Source organism: Homo sapiens, chromosome X (genome assembly GCF_000001405.40).
Source record: "Homo sapiens chromosome X, GRCh38.p14 Primary Assembly".
Classification (NCBI taxonomy): Eukaryota; Metazoa; Chordata; class Mammalia; order Primates; family Hominidae; genus Homo; species Homo sapiens.
This window is the reverse complement of record NC_000023.11, coordinates 15,480,852-15,495,464: the sequence shown is the minus strand read 5'-3', so window position 1 is coordinate 15,495,464 and position 14,613 is coordinate 15,480,852. Positions and strand designations below refer to the sequence as shown.

General features: G+C 39.9%; 1 protein-coding gene and 1 long non-coding RNA gene across 3 annotated transcripts in view, besides 2 other annotated features; both read left to right on the top strand.

Annotated features, from left to right (window-relative positions):
- Positions 1,716-2,219: an enhancer, noted in NCBI's record as "H3K27ac hESC enhancer chrX:15511369-15511872 (GRCh37/hg19 assembly coordinates)". NCBI's record gives its function as "activates a minimal SCP1, AML or CMV promoter by ChIP-STARR-seq in naive H9 embryonic stem cells {active_cell/tissue: H9 hESC(naive)}" and the evidence as "EXISTENCE:reporter gene assay evidence [ECO:0000049][PMID:30033119]".
- PIR (pirin) overlaps positions 2,132-14,613 on the top strand; it is a 108,535-nt gene continuing 96,053 nt past the window's right edge. The window contains exons 1-2 of one of the 2 annotated variants that reach the window (NM_001018109.3): positions 2,132-2,275; positions 4,156-4,303. In NM_001018109.3, the coding sequence (NP_001018119.1) occupies positions 4,208-4,303 (96 nt within the window). In that variant the 5' untranslated portion in view covers positions 2,132-2,275; positions 4,156-4,207. Of the gene's footprint in view, positions 2,310-4,155; positions 4,304-14,613 lie in introns of both variants that reach the window. The other variant, NM_003662.4, reaches the window with a different exon arrangement.
- Positions 2,220-2,722: an enhancer, noted in NCBI's record as "H3K27ac hESC enhancer chrX:15510866-15511368 (GRCh37/hg19 assembly coordinates)". NCBI's record gives its function as "activates a minimal SCP1, AML or CMV promoter by ChIP-STARR-seq in naive H9 embryonic stem cells {active_cell/tissue: H9 hESC(naive)}" and the evidence as "EXISTENCE:reporter gene assay evidence [ECO:0000049][PMID:30033119]".
- Positions 4,156-14,613, top strand: part of PIR-FIGF (PIR-FIGF readthrough) — a 145,719-nt gene continuing 135,261 nt past the window's right edge. The window contains exon 1 of the long non-coding RNA NR_037859.2: positions 4,156-4,303. This is a non-coding gene — a long non-coding RNA (PIR-FIGF readthrough). The remainder of the gene's footprint in view (positions 4,304-14,613) is intronic.

Genomic DNA, 14,613 nt, shown 5'->3' with positions numbered 1-14,613 from the left:
TTGTACTTTTAGTAGAGACAGGGTTTCTCCATTTTGGTCAGGCTGGTCTCGAACTCCCGACCTCAGGTGATCTGCCTGCCTCGGCCTCCCAAAGTGCTGGGATTACAGGCGTGAGCCACCGCGCCTGGCCCCATGTACTTCTATAATATGTATCTTTGAAAAGAAATTCAATAAGTTTTACAGAGGAGGAAAATGGAATTCGTGAATAAAAAAGAAAAGAGTCAAGGTACCTAAATAATGTGGTTGTCTTTAAAGATTATAATGGTGTTATTTGGAATCATTTAGGGAAGGCTTTGTTCATTGTCATATCAGCATGAGTTTTCTTTATGCTTCCCAAGATTCCAAAGGTGATCAACAGTCCATCTACACACTCATATATTTAGCCACCTACTCCACATCTTGATCTGGATGTCAATGACAGTGTGAAAAGTGCTCAAAGCTTAATATACAGGGTCACATTTCTCATCTCAAAACAGGACCCTGTTACAGTGAAACATTATACGCCCTTTGTTCATTTGTAAGAATTCTTCCCTCTCTCACCTTTGTTTCTCCTCATTTTAAGTCTTCTACCTTTTCAGACTTGTTCTTTTTTCTTTTCTTTTCTTTTTTCTGCAGGGGCCTGTAAATGGAATTCCTGCATTGCTCTAACCATGTACAACCTTGGACTTAGCTTTTACCTGTAACTGGCTTCTGAGAGACAAAGAGGAGAAACGTTCACTCCTAGTACACCTATTACAGCTGCAGAGGTAGAGGAGACAGTTGCAGAACTAGTTACAATGACGATAAGAAACAATACTTTGTTATTCCATAGCACCTTTAATGTTCATGTGTATTATCTCAGCTAGCCTTGAACTGCCTAAGTAAGGTGATGAGGACGGGTTTAAGCCCCACTGATATTTTAAAAGCCCAGAGAAAAGTGTTCGTTCCTCTACTAACCTGTTCTTTTAGAGCAGGGATCTGCATACTAGGCCTGCAGCCAAAATGAGTAGGTAGCCCACTACCTATTTTTGTATAGCCAGAGGGCTAAGAATGGTTTTTACATTTTAAGTGGTTTTACATTTAAGATCAAAAGAAGGATAATATTTCATGACAAGTAAAAATTATATGAACTCAAAATTGTATGAATTTTATGAATTTATATTTCAGTATTCATAATTAAAGTTTTATTGAACTACAGCCACATTCATTTATTTACATGTTATCTATGGCTGCTTTCTTGCTACAAAGGCAAACTGGAGAATGTACATGGCCTGCAAAGTCAAAGTATTTACTATCTGGTCCTTCACAGACAAAGTTTTCCAACCTTATTTTAGAGACACCACTGTCTTTCCTTTCTCAAAACCAGGCAATGAGCCTTCTGGTGTTTAGAGAATAGAAACTGCAGCTATGCCTGTACCACTAGTTAATAATCCTAGTAATCAACTAGATCCCCTCACTGGCTTGTGCCAGCTCCTCATTCTTCTGGAAAAACTCTCCAACGCCTGCCCACTGTGTTCCAACACCATACAAACTCTTAACCAATTATCTCCCCACTAGAGTGTGCCTTCTCTTCAGGCAGGAATAAAGACGTATGGCTGCCCGTCCCCACTCCCGCACTCCTTTTCTCGCAATTCTAACTGACAAACAGCAGGCAACTTATCTATGGAACAAACGATTCTGTAGTGCTTAGAATGTGACAGGCTCATTTAATTCTCATTTCAGCCCGATAAGGCTGGCACTATTATCATCACCATCCTCATTTTATAGAGGAGGAACCAGAGGCACAGAGAGACTGAGCCACCTGTCCCAGGTCATGTCAAGTGGTGCCTCCCAGCGGTGGAGGCAGCACTGGAATCCGTGCCGCCAAGCTCCGCCGGCTGGGTGACAGGGAGACTACAGTTAAAAACAGATTTCCCACAAGACCGACCGGAGCGCCGATCAGAGCACCTGCCCGGGCCACACATTTCCTCCTGGAGCACAGCAAGTGCCGCCTAAATTACCCGAGTGAGCATCTCTTCCCGGCACGAGAGGCAGGGAGGCCAAAGGGCCGCCAAGCTGGCCTGGGAGAGGCGTAGGGCGGAGCGAGAGTGGAGTGACATTCCCGAGGGCGGAGCCCCAGGGCCTCCGAGACCCGTAGACTCCCGCCTCCCGCCTCCTCTAGGCCGCCGGCCGCGAAGCGCTGAGTCACGGTGAGGCTACTGGACCCACACTCTCTTAACCTGCCCTCCCTGCACTCGCTCCCGGCGGCTCTTCGCGTCACCCCCGCCGCTAAGGCTCCAGGTGCCGCTACCGCAGCGTGAGTACCTGGGGCTCCTGCAGGGGTCCACTAGGTGAGGGAATGCTGGCGGTCAGTTTGCAAAATCCTGCCTTCCCCAGCTCACTTTAGACTCCTAGGGGAGATAACAAGAGATACTTAAATTGTACTACGAAATTTGGTGAAAATGGTAGACGGCTTTTCTTTCTGCAAAGCACTGAGATCTAAGTACCTCATCAGTTGTTCACATGCATACAATTTAATCGTAGGAGTCTGGAAGGACCCAGACATAATCTAGATGGGGATAAAGATACTTTCTGGTTGCTTCGATGTAGGTGATGACCGGCCTGTACTGCTTTGAGTATTAAGCTCGTTTCTGCGCCTTGCAACCTATCACCCAATAAATATTTATCGATTACTATTCAGGGAGGATACATTTTAGGGTAGGCCTTGACTAAGTGGAGGGTATTGTGGAGTAGAGCCCTTCTGAATAACAGCAGCTAACATTCTCATAGCACTAACTGCACCCCTTTGAGGTAGGCGGTCTTATCATTCCATTTTACAGATAAAACTGAGCCACAGAAAACCTCAGGTCACACAGCTGATATGTGGTGAAGCTGAGATGCAAACCTAGGCTGTCTGGTTCCAGAGTCTGCTTTTTGCCAAAGCACCTCTCTTCGTTTCAGTAGGAATCTTTGAAGGAATTGGGTATATTTCACTTGAAGAAAAGATTTAAGGGATTGGGGGTACTGTCTGCAAACACTTGAAGTGGAATAGGGATAGATTATATTCCTTCTGGGATAGTCCATTAGAACCTAGACCTCCCAAAGAGGAAAAGACTTTCGAATAACAAACTCTGGCTATAGGTAAGTCCTGAAATATGAGATACATTGCCAAGAACAGCTGGTCCATGACTTGCCTATGCTCTAGGAGACTTCATGAGTAAGCTGAAAGATTTCTTGCCCAAAATGTTGGCCCTGAACTTCAGGAATAGATGGGTCTTTGAATTCAATGACCCTCGAAGATCTCTTTTAATGCCAAGATCTTCAGCATGTTCTGGTAAGAGTTAGGGACCTCTTTGTTTTTCTCCATTTTCTCTAAGGCGCCACACAAACCTGCCCCCATCTGTCAGCCTCATTGGTAGCAACTACCTCATGGGTGCTACCAGTGAGGCTGACAGATGAGTGGCACTGGGGAAGGGGTGGGAGATCGAGAGAATTCAGTGAAGTAAGAAAGACAAAGTGTTCATTGGAGATTTTTAGTAAGGGGCCAACAGAGCTGCTAAAGTCATGCTTCACTTAACGATGGGGATATGTTCGGAGAAATGCATTGTTAGGTGATTTTGTCGTTGTGCAAGCATCTTAGAGTACACTTAGACAAACCTAGCTGGTATAACCTAGGTGTGTAGTAGGATATATGGTATAGCCTATTGTTCCTAGGCTACAAACCCATACAGCATGTTCCTGTACTGAATACTGAGGCAACTGCAACACCGTGGTGAGTATTTGTGTATCTAAACATACCTAAACATAGAAAAGATACAGTAAAAATATGGCATTATAGTCTTATGGGACTACTGTCATACATACAGTCCATATATTGTTGACTGTGTAATGTTGACCTGAATGTCATTATGTGGCAGGCACATGACTGTATCGCTAACCTTCGCACAAGATTACTGTAGGATTACATGAGATAGTTGTAAATAATTGGTGGGGTACTGGGCACCTAGTAGGTATGCATACATGTTCACCATCATTATGGTTGTTTTAAATCACCTAACCCAGGCCCTGCACATAGTAAGACATCAACAAATTGTAGCTGCTACTATTTTGCGCATCTAATCTTAATATCATTTATTTTGTAGTCCTTGGATGTTCCCTCCTTTATGACTTCTTTTTTTTTTGTTGTCCTTCCTTTAGCCCTCCATCCTCTACAGCTCAGCATCAGAACACTCTCTTTTTAGACTCCGATATGGGGTCCTCCAAGAAAGTTACTCTCTCAGTGCTCAGCCGGGAGCAGTCGGAAGGGGTTGGAGCGAGGGTCCGGAGAAGCATTGGCAGACCCGAGGTATGCTAGTTGGGTGGCTGCTCCTTGTTTTCTTTTCAGAAGGGACTGGTGGGATGTTGATGGTGATTTTGGGAAGAGGGGGCCAAGATAGTCGTGAGCTGGCCTGTGGAGTGCATAAGTGCAAACTTTAAAGTTTGCAATTGGGGGCAAACCAGCCCCAGCCCAAAGGGGGTTTCTGTAATGTGAATACAGAGGTCTTGGGCAGAAAGTGCAGCTGAGCTTCAGGAAATGTCTCTGCTTCTCTCTGCACACTGGTGTGCCACCCTGGGCTGACATGCTATCTGCCTCAGCATGCATATCGCCAAACATGCCCACCACACAGCCCCTAAGTTTATTTGCCCACACTTCAAAGCACCAGGGAGTAACTCTGATTCTCAATTCCAAATTCCCAGGAGAGAGAATCTGATTGGTTGAGCATAGATCAGGCCTCCACTGCTGGCCAATCTGCCGTTGCCAAGGATTTAGATTCACTGAGAGACTGCTGGGACCCAACTCTGTAGACGTCTGGTGAGGGACACGTGTAGATGGGTCTAGCTCTCAGAGAAGGTGATTATAGATTAGGTAGATGTCTTTCAACTTTAGAGAATGTTTTCATTTGAATATGGGAAATTTGGGATTTGTGGGGGAAATAAGTCTTATATGCACAGAAAGGTATCAGATGGTGGTCATAGCCCAGGGAATACAGCCCCTAGCACCATATCAGATCCCCAAAACATTTTCTAATAGAAGAAATACATTACAGAGATGGATTCCATTTTGAAAAGTGAGACTGGTTTGTCCCTCTTAAACTCTACTCTGATAATTTTCATGCTACTTTGTTGCTCAACTTAAGCTTTAAAAGGGTTACTTTCTCAACTTTTTAATCTTTGAAATGTATTTATAGGGTTTTAAAAAACTCCTGGCCTTCCTCAATGAGTGCTGATCTACATTTTTGATGGGTTCAATTTTTTTAGTTATGTTTTAAATTGACAAATAAAAATTGTATATATTTATGATGTACAAAATGATGTTTTGATAGGTGTCTATATTGTGGGATGGCTAAATCAAGCTAATTAACATATTCATTACCTCACATACTTATTTTTTTGTGATGAGAACACTTAAAGTCTCTCTTAGCCAATTTCGAGTATACATTGTTATTAACTATAGTCACCATTTTGTGCAATGAATCTCTTGAACTCATTCCTCCTGACTGAAATTTTGCATCCTTTGACCAACATCTCTCCTTCCATATCCTCCCATCCCCTAGCCGGGGTAACCACCATTCTACTCTTTGCTTCTGTGAGTTTGATTTTTTTAGATTTCGCATATGAGTGAGATCATGCAGTAATTGTCTTTCTGTGCCTGGCTTATTTCACCTAGCGTAATGTTGATTGGCCACTGAGGCAGAGGAAAAACTGTCAACACAACTCTCCATCAGCCCCATCAGGCCATTTCTCTTTCCAGTTAGCTTCCTGTTTACACCTGAATGTCTTTTGAGGTCCATCAAACAGTGTTTTCTGAAGGATACCTGCAAACAAGATTATTCTAATGGCTAAATGCACAGGGAGTGTTGGGGAGATGCAGATGGAGTTGGTATCATATTCTACTAGGCTACATCACCAATAGAACAATTGGAAAGAATTTTGGGGCCCCAAACACACCTGTTACTAAGCCACTATTATATATTGAGGGTAACTAACACTTTAATTAGCCCATCTGTCAGGAACACATCTGCTGAGAATTTCTTTATTGTTTTTGTCCTGTGAATCCCTTTGGCAGTTTGATGAAACCTATCAATTTCTTCTGAAAGCAATGTTTTAAAATACATAAAATAAAATACATAGGATTACTAAAATAAAATATATAGGATTACCAAGGAAAACTTTTATACTGAAACATGGTTAAGAACAATTTTAAAAACTATTTCATAATCTGGTAATTTTACATTAAATAACACGATTTGGTGGCAGTTCTAGTAACTGCTGAATTTCAAAGCTGTGAAGAACACGAACAATATTTCGATATATCTACTAACAACTGTAATGTGATATGAAAATAACTTTGATTTCAATTGGTGACAAAGTCACAGGTACTGGTAATTTACTGTGGTGCATTGACTACATTCATAATTGAAGAAGTTAAATTTCAGTCTAGAGATGACGGTAATGGTTGTACAATGTAAATATATTTAATGCCACAAAACTGTACTCTTGAAATGGTTAAAATGCTAAATTTTATGTTATGTATATTTTACCACAATAAAAAAAAAACAAAAAAATTAGTAGAGGTTAGTGACAATAGAGATATAACTTTTTAGCAGTCCAAGTTTACAACCCCTCTGAGTTCTATCAGTGGTGCCAGGTAAAAGTCCATGGCTGATAACTTATGCTTTACAGATCCCCATATTTTACTGATTCAGATCTCCTGTACCCCAGGTATGACTCTACCCTAAGGAAAAATAAATGGATAGGAATCATTCCTAATCCCATCAGCCTGGTTTAATTACTGTTGAGACAAAGGGTCTTTTTGTTTGTTTCCATATAATTGTATATTTTACATCATGGGATTATATAGAACAAACAATTTTATGTTCCAATTTTTTTCATTTAACAATGGTAGCATAAGGACTTCCCATGTTATTATAAATTCTTCATAAACATCATTTTAATAGTTATGCCATATCCCATGTATAAGCATTGCATTATTCTCTTACTCGTGAATTTTTGACCATTTAGATTGTTGCCATATTATTTTTGCACTCTACATACTACCAACTTGCCAGAAAGGTAGACTCCCTAACCCTCCCATCAGCAGAGAATGAAAGCATCTGTCTAACATCAAGAGATTACTTTTCTTTCTTTTTCTTTTTCTTTCTTTTCTTTTTTTTTTTTTTTTTTTTTTGAGACGGAGTTTCGCTCTTGTTGCCCAGGCTGGAGTGCAATGGCATGATCTCAGCTCACCGCAACCTCCACCTCCCTGGTTCAAGTGATTCTCCTGCCTCAGCCTCCCAAGTCCCTGGGATTACAGGCATGCGCCACCACGCCTGGCTAATTTTGTATTTTTAGTAGAGACGGGGTTTCTCCATGTTGGTCAGGCTGGTCTCAAACTCCCAACCTCAGGTGATCCGCCCACCTCGGCCTCCCAAAGTGCTGGGATTACAGGCTGAGCCACTGCACCCGACCAAGAGGTTATTTTTCAAACTCTGCACCAAAGCTTCTGTCTCTAAAGAAATATCTCATAAACTTTGGACCCAGAGCTATTTTAGCATAGTGTCTACAACAGCACTCAATATTCACAGCCGCAAGTGTTTTGACTCCTTTGACTGCAAATGTGGAGATAGAAGAGGAATATACAATGCTCTCACTGAGCCTTTCTGTGATTTAATAACAAGGAAGAGATGGAGTGGGGCTGGCCCACACCCTTCATCACAGTTATACATGGGCCAGCCTAGCCAGACTGGAATTTGAATGGCTGAGTAGCATAGGTGCTAGGGAGTGGTTCCTCTGTGCTCCCAGCAGGAGGGAAATCCACTACTAATCTGCACTTGCTTCTATGCCCACTCCTGCTACCAGACACTCCTCGGTGTAATGTGATTCTCCATGGGTCACTCTTATTTTTATTTTGTTAATGAAGAATTTCAATCATCATAGAAAAGTAGAGAAATAGTATGACGAATCTCCATGTTCCTTGCATCCACAATGATCAACTCATGGCAGTCTTATTTCATCCATATTATCATCCATTTCTCCCCTCAAAGTATTTTGAAGAGAATTCCAGCCATTATTTTATTTCACTTATAAATATTTCAATTTGTATCTCTAAAAGATAACTTGAAAAAAAAAACTACAATCTCATTATCATACTTACAAAAATTTTAAAAATCCCTTAATATCATCAAATAGCCTTGACTAATCTTGTTCTTCACTGATTTAGCCTCTGTAGATGATGCTTTTCATTATCAAGGTCTCTAGATATTGAATCAAGGAAGTGGGCCATATAGTCACAGCTCAAGTCCATTCAAGGCTGTATCTAGATCTCAGTCTAGGATATGTGCTGCAGTTTCCTTCTGCCTTCTCATTGTTATCCCCAGGTTCCAGTCTAGAGGCCGAGTAAACCCAGAAGGTAGCCTGAGGTGTTGGAGTCAATCTTGAGGAGCCTGTTCCTTCAGCTGCTCCCGTATTGTCTTGATGTAGGCTGACCTAGAATCACCTGATTCTTGGCTACTACCATAGACATTATTGCCCTTTTATCAGTTAGGATTAGGTTCAACTGTGTGTAACAGAAAGCATCATCCAAAACCAATGATATACATAAGTGTTTGTTTCTCTTTTGTAAAGTGCCAAAATAGGCACTCCAGGGTGGCCTTCCACTCTTATCAGGGACCTGTGTTCATTCTATCCTAGGTCATAATTCTTAGTACATTCTTAGTGCATCGCCTTATAGTCCAAGACAGCTGTTAGGGAAATGGCAACCATTTACCCTCTGGCAAAGAAAGGAGGAAGAGGGGAAGGGCAAAATGATACTCATCTTGTGTCCATCCTCCTCTTATAAGGAATTTTCCTAAAAGTTCCACCCTGCAACTTCTACGTTGTAGCTAGATTCAATCATATGAACACAACTAGCTACAAGAGATGCCATGGACCTAAAACAAGTACCACTCAGTATATTATGGAGTACCTTTTATGTACACAGAATTATTGTAAGTTCAGTGGAGCATCATAAAAAAGCATAGCATCGGCCCCATCCTCAAGGAACTATTATTCTTGCTAGCTACTTCCAGTGCTTCCTGTTGTAAATAAAATTCCAGGCTTTATTATGGGAGTACCACATGCCTGAGGGGTGGTGGCCACAAGTTTTGATTGACCTTCTTTTTTTTTTTTTGAGACAGAGTCTCACTCTGTCTCCCTCGGCTCACTGCAACCTCTGCCTCCTGGGTTCAAGCAATTCTCTTGCCTCAGCCACCACGCCTAGCTAATTTTTGTATTTTTAGTAGAGACAGGGTTTCACTATGTTGGCCAGGCTGGTCTCTAACTCACAGCCTCAAGGGATCCATCTGCCTCGGCCTCCCAAAGTGCTGGGATTATAGGCATGAGCCACCACGCCTGGCCTGATTGGCCTTAAGAGACTAAAAGAAGTAGATTGGAAGCTGCCACTTGAATTCAGCAGCTAAAGGATTTAGAACTATTTGAATGAAAAGAAATTCTCATGTGGCTCAAAAACGTTAAAAGATTGTCAATTTGATATGTAGAGAGAGAAAGATGTGAATGAGTTGGGGACTTAGTGAAAACATTTTAGAAAAATCAGAGTTTTGTAAATTAGATCTTGTCTACCGATAACACATGTTTATTTTACATGCTATTGAATTCCTGCTAAATGTTTAGAGAATGTTAGGAAGTTTGACGAGGACTAATACCCAGTACTGCAAATAACACTTTAGTACAACAGTCTAATGCAAGATATTCTTACTTTTTGGAGGGAAAGTGTGTCTTACACATATCACCAATTTTCTGGCAAGATAATCAATTCATCCTTCTGACTCTTACCTCAATCAGCCCCCTAGCTTCTTCAGTCTCTTTCTTGTGCTGGCTTTCTTCCTATGTGTGTTCATATTTCATGGATTGGTGACCAGAAGGATCAAATGGGCAATAAATATGACAAATAGTACTGATTTGGTCTGAATCTATGTGTCTTCCCTACTCCTAATTCCTATCATGAAACCTAACACTCAATATGATGGTATTAGGAGGGGAGGCCTCTGGGAGGTATTAGGTCATGAGGGCAGAACCCTCAGGAATGGGATTAATGCCCTTACAAATGAGACCCTGGAGAGCTAGCTGGCTCCTTCCACCATGTGGGACACAGCCAGAAGGCACTGTGTCTGAACCAGAAAGTTGGACCCTCACCAGACACCAAATTTGTTGGTGCCTTAATCTTGGACTTCTTAGTCTCCAGAACTGTGGGAAATAGATTTCAGTTGTTTATAATCCAGCCAGTTTATAGTATTATGTTATAGCAACTCAAACAGACTAAGACAGAAAATTGGCACTGAAATTGGGATCATTCTTCCATTGTCTTGAACAATAGGTCCTGGTTTCTGTTTTGATGGCTGACAAGGCTCCTTATTAAATGGTGAAATGGTCATTTGGCCACACCCTTGGTGTTTTCTCCTGAACATGTTTCTCATTTTTTATAATATGGGTAGGCTGAAAATTTCCCAAATCTTTAAGTTCTGCTTCTCTTTTGATTAACAATTCTGCCTTTAAATTATTTCTCTCTTCTTGCATTTTACTATATGCCATCAAGAGGAACCCGGTCTCTCAACGCTTTGTGTACAAATAGCATCAGCTAAACATCCAATTTCATTGCTTACAGGTTCTACCTTCCACAAAACACTAGGATATGAACACAGTTCAGCCAAGTTATTTGCCACTTTATAACAAGGGTAATCTTTCCTTCAGTTTTCAATAACATGTTTCTGTCTAAGACTTCATCAGAATGGCCTTTACTGTCCATATTTCTACAACAATCTGTTCAGGATTACTTAGGTATTCTTTAAGAAGATTGAGGCCGGGCGCAGTGGCTCATGCCTGTAATCCTACCACTTTGGGAGGCTGAGGTGGGTGGATCACTTGAGCTCAGGAGTTTGAGACTAGCCTGAGCAACATGGTGAAACCTCGTCTTTACAAAAAATACAAAAATTAGCTGGGCATGGTGGCTGGCACCTGTAGTCCCAGCTACTTGGGGCACTGAGGCGGGCGCATTGCTTGAGGCCAGGAAGCAGAGGTTGCAGTGAGTCGAGATCATGCCATCGCACTCCAACACAGGCAACAGAATGAGACCCTGTCTCAAAAAAAAAAAAAAAAAAAAAAAAAAGAAAATTGAGACTGTATCTACCGCTCTCCTCTTTTCTTTCTGGGCCCTCACCAGAGTTGCTTTTAATAGTTCATTCACAGCAATGTAGGCTTTTGCTAGCATGACTTCAAGACTTCCAGCCTCTACTCTTTAAGTTTAAGCAGTTCCAAGGCTACTTCCAGTTTTAGGTATTCATTACATCAGTGCTCCAAGTTCTTGATAACAATGAATAACTACTGTTCTGAGGGTGGTGGATGGTGATAAGGGTAGGACTAAAAAGAGAGAACCTCTTGGTTTTCACAGTTTGACAGCAGGGCATATTTGCTCATATAAAACTCTTCGATACAAAGAAACAATAAGTATTTCTTTATCTTGTCTTTACCCATATTTTAATAGAACCACAACAACACAGAATTTAAAAGTTATCTTAGAGCTTCAAACACTTTGTTTTGTACCTAGGGAAGTGATGGCTGTGATATTTATAGGACTGGTGCAGTATAATAGATACCACCCATCTATGTAGAACCTACAGTGCTTTGGGCACTGGACCAGGTGTGCTACATTCATTGTTTTCAATCCTTATAATCTTCCAAGGTATATATTATCATGTGAGGAGAAAGCAATGTATAATAAGGTATGAGAATTCTCAACCTCTCCTTCTACCAATCCCAGTTCTGTTCCTGGACTTTTAATAAGCTGATGTGGAAAAATGAATGACAAGACTGAAAGGAAACAAATTTGCTTGGTTGATTTTCACTGGAAAGGGCAGAGACTTACTAGTGGAAGAGAAAAGAGTAAATACAGAAGGTGAGAGGAGAGGAGAAAAGGAAAGAGGTGTCTTCTGATGGTTTGAAGTGATTTGAAGAGTTAGAGTGAGAGAAAATGGAATCATGGGAGACAGATATATACATGGAGAGGGGTAAGAGGGATTTTAAGCATATCTTTAAATTGAAGCCTCTTTTGGTGTTTTTGAGAGGATTCAATAAATAATTTGAATTTATTTTCAATTACTTTTAAATATTGGACTGGATGAAACACCAGGTTGAGATAGGCTACAAAGTGCCCCAGCTTTATATGGGTTGCAGTCCACATTTTCAAATGAAGAAATTGAGAATTGGTTAGGTTAAAAAACTTGCAGTAGCTTGTTGAATTTATATATATATGTATAATGTATATGTTATGTATATATGTGTGCATGTTTTTTTCATAGAAAGTTAAAATAAAGATAAAACCGGAGAATGAGAAAGTTTCATACTTTAATTTCTAGTAATATGACAGAGTAGACATCCTGAGATAAATAACTTAAAATTAATTAGCTGAGCTGCCAAGAGGTTGCTGAAACTCTTAGAGTATAAAACAATAAGAAAGAAAGAAAAAATGGAAAATCTGAATAGTTTCATAGCCATAATGGTAATCGAATGAATACTTTAAAAGTTTATAACAAAGACAGCAGGACCAGAAGATTTTATAGACAAATTTTACAAAATATTTAAGGTGTAAGTAATTCTAATAATGCACAAACTCTCCAGGGGATAAAATCCAAGGAAGTGCTCCTCAAATCACTTCATGAAGCTGACATTACCTTGCTATCAGGACCAGACGAGGACAGCCAGTGAAAGAATAATTACATCACATTTATGAGAATGTTTGCAAGAATCATAGAAAATTAACCAACCAAATTCAACAATGTATTAAAAGATAATATATCATGACCAAATTTGGATTATCTGAGGAGAGCAAATTTGGTTTAATGTTAGAAAATCTATTTGTGTATTTTATTAACATTAAGAGGTTAAAGGAGAAAAAATCATATAAGTGTCTCAATGGTGTGGAGAAGACATTCGACAATTCAACATCCATTCATGTTTAAAAAACAACAACTTTGTAAACTAGAAGTAGAAGGGAAACTCTTTAACCTTATGAAGGGAATCTATAAAACACCTGCATTAAACAACCAGATTACCAATAAAACTTTATAAAGCAATCTATGTAAAATCAGGGAGAAGACAAGGATGTCTACCACCACCATTTCTACTCAAGACTGTTGTAGAGATGCTCGCTTGTAAAAATACAAGAAAAAGAAATGGAAAATATAACGATTGAAAATGAAAAAAAAATCCCTTCTTATTTGCTAATGGTTGTTGGTCGAAATGTTACTACCAAATATTCATTCCTTCTCTATAATAGGATTTTACACCCGCATCCATTTTTAGGTACATTACCCATGAGACACATAGGGAGCGATTAAGTGCCCTCCTCCCTGACTTTGGGCTTGGCCATGTCACATGCTTTGACCAATGGGATGTGTTAATGTGATTGTGAATGGTTGACTTGCCTTGCTTTTTGCTCCTGACCTTGGCTATGAGAACATAATGCCCTCCATAGTGGCCGCTGTTTCAGCTTGAATCCCAGAGTGAGAAGACATGTCAAGGCCAGCCAGGCCCATAAAAACCCAGAGAAATTGCAGTCTGCCACGGCTTTAATCCAATGCAAGACAATTTTTTTGTGTGTGAACTATTAAGCAAAAGTTTATTGATAAATACACTGGTGATATGAACATCTACAAAGAAAACCCAAAAGAAGCTACAGATGAATCATTAAAATTAATAAGAGCTTAGCAGGGTTCAAAAATTGCCTAGCGCATGTCTAATTTCCAGCAGCAAACTGTTCAAAATATAATGTGTAAATGCTGTTTGCAGTAGAATTCCATTAAAAATACAAGTTAGCTAGAAAAATAATTTTTAAAAATATGTAAGACCTTTATGGAGAGAATTGCAAATCCTTATTGAAATATGTTTAAAGACCTAAATAAATGGGGATAACCATGGTTCTATTGAGGAAACATTGAGGAAAACTAAATATTATATAAATGTCAGTTCTTCACAATTTGATCCATAGATTAAAACTAATTCCAATCAAATGTTCAAAATTTTTCTTCATAGAATTTGATAAATTTCCTAAAATTTATATAAAATAACATGGTCAAGAATAAGCAAGACAATCACAAACATATGTTGATGACAACCAGATATGTTTCTACCTCTCATTTGAGCTTGAGATTGATCTTTAGTTGTCTGCTAGCCTTTGCATAATATAATGTGCACTTAATAGTTCTATTTATACAGATAACATTTATATGGATATATCAAATTCAGTATGACCTAAAATGAAGTCATCATAGCTATTTCAAGGCAGCTTCTTCTATTATGTTCTTTAAGTGCTGAATGGCCCTACCATCTTCCCAGATACCATAGTTAAAAATTTGGGAGTCAGTTAATGCTCTTCCTTTTTGTCTCATAAATATCTACCCAGTCACTCAACCACTCTCCATCACTACTGCCATTGCCTTAGTTCTGGCCTTTGCCTTTGCTCAGACTATTTGAGATAACCTTCTAGATATTCTTTGTTTCCTGTCTTCCTTTACCACAGAGTGATCCTTCTAAATCTGATCATATCAAACTCTGATGAAAACTCCC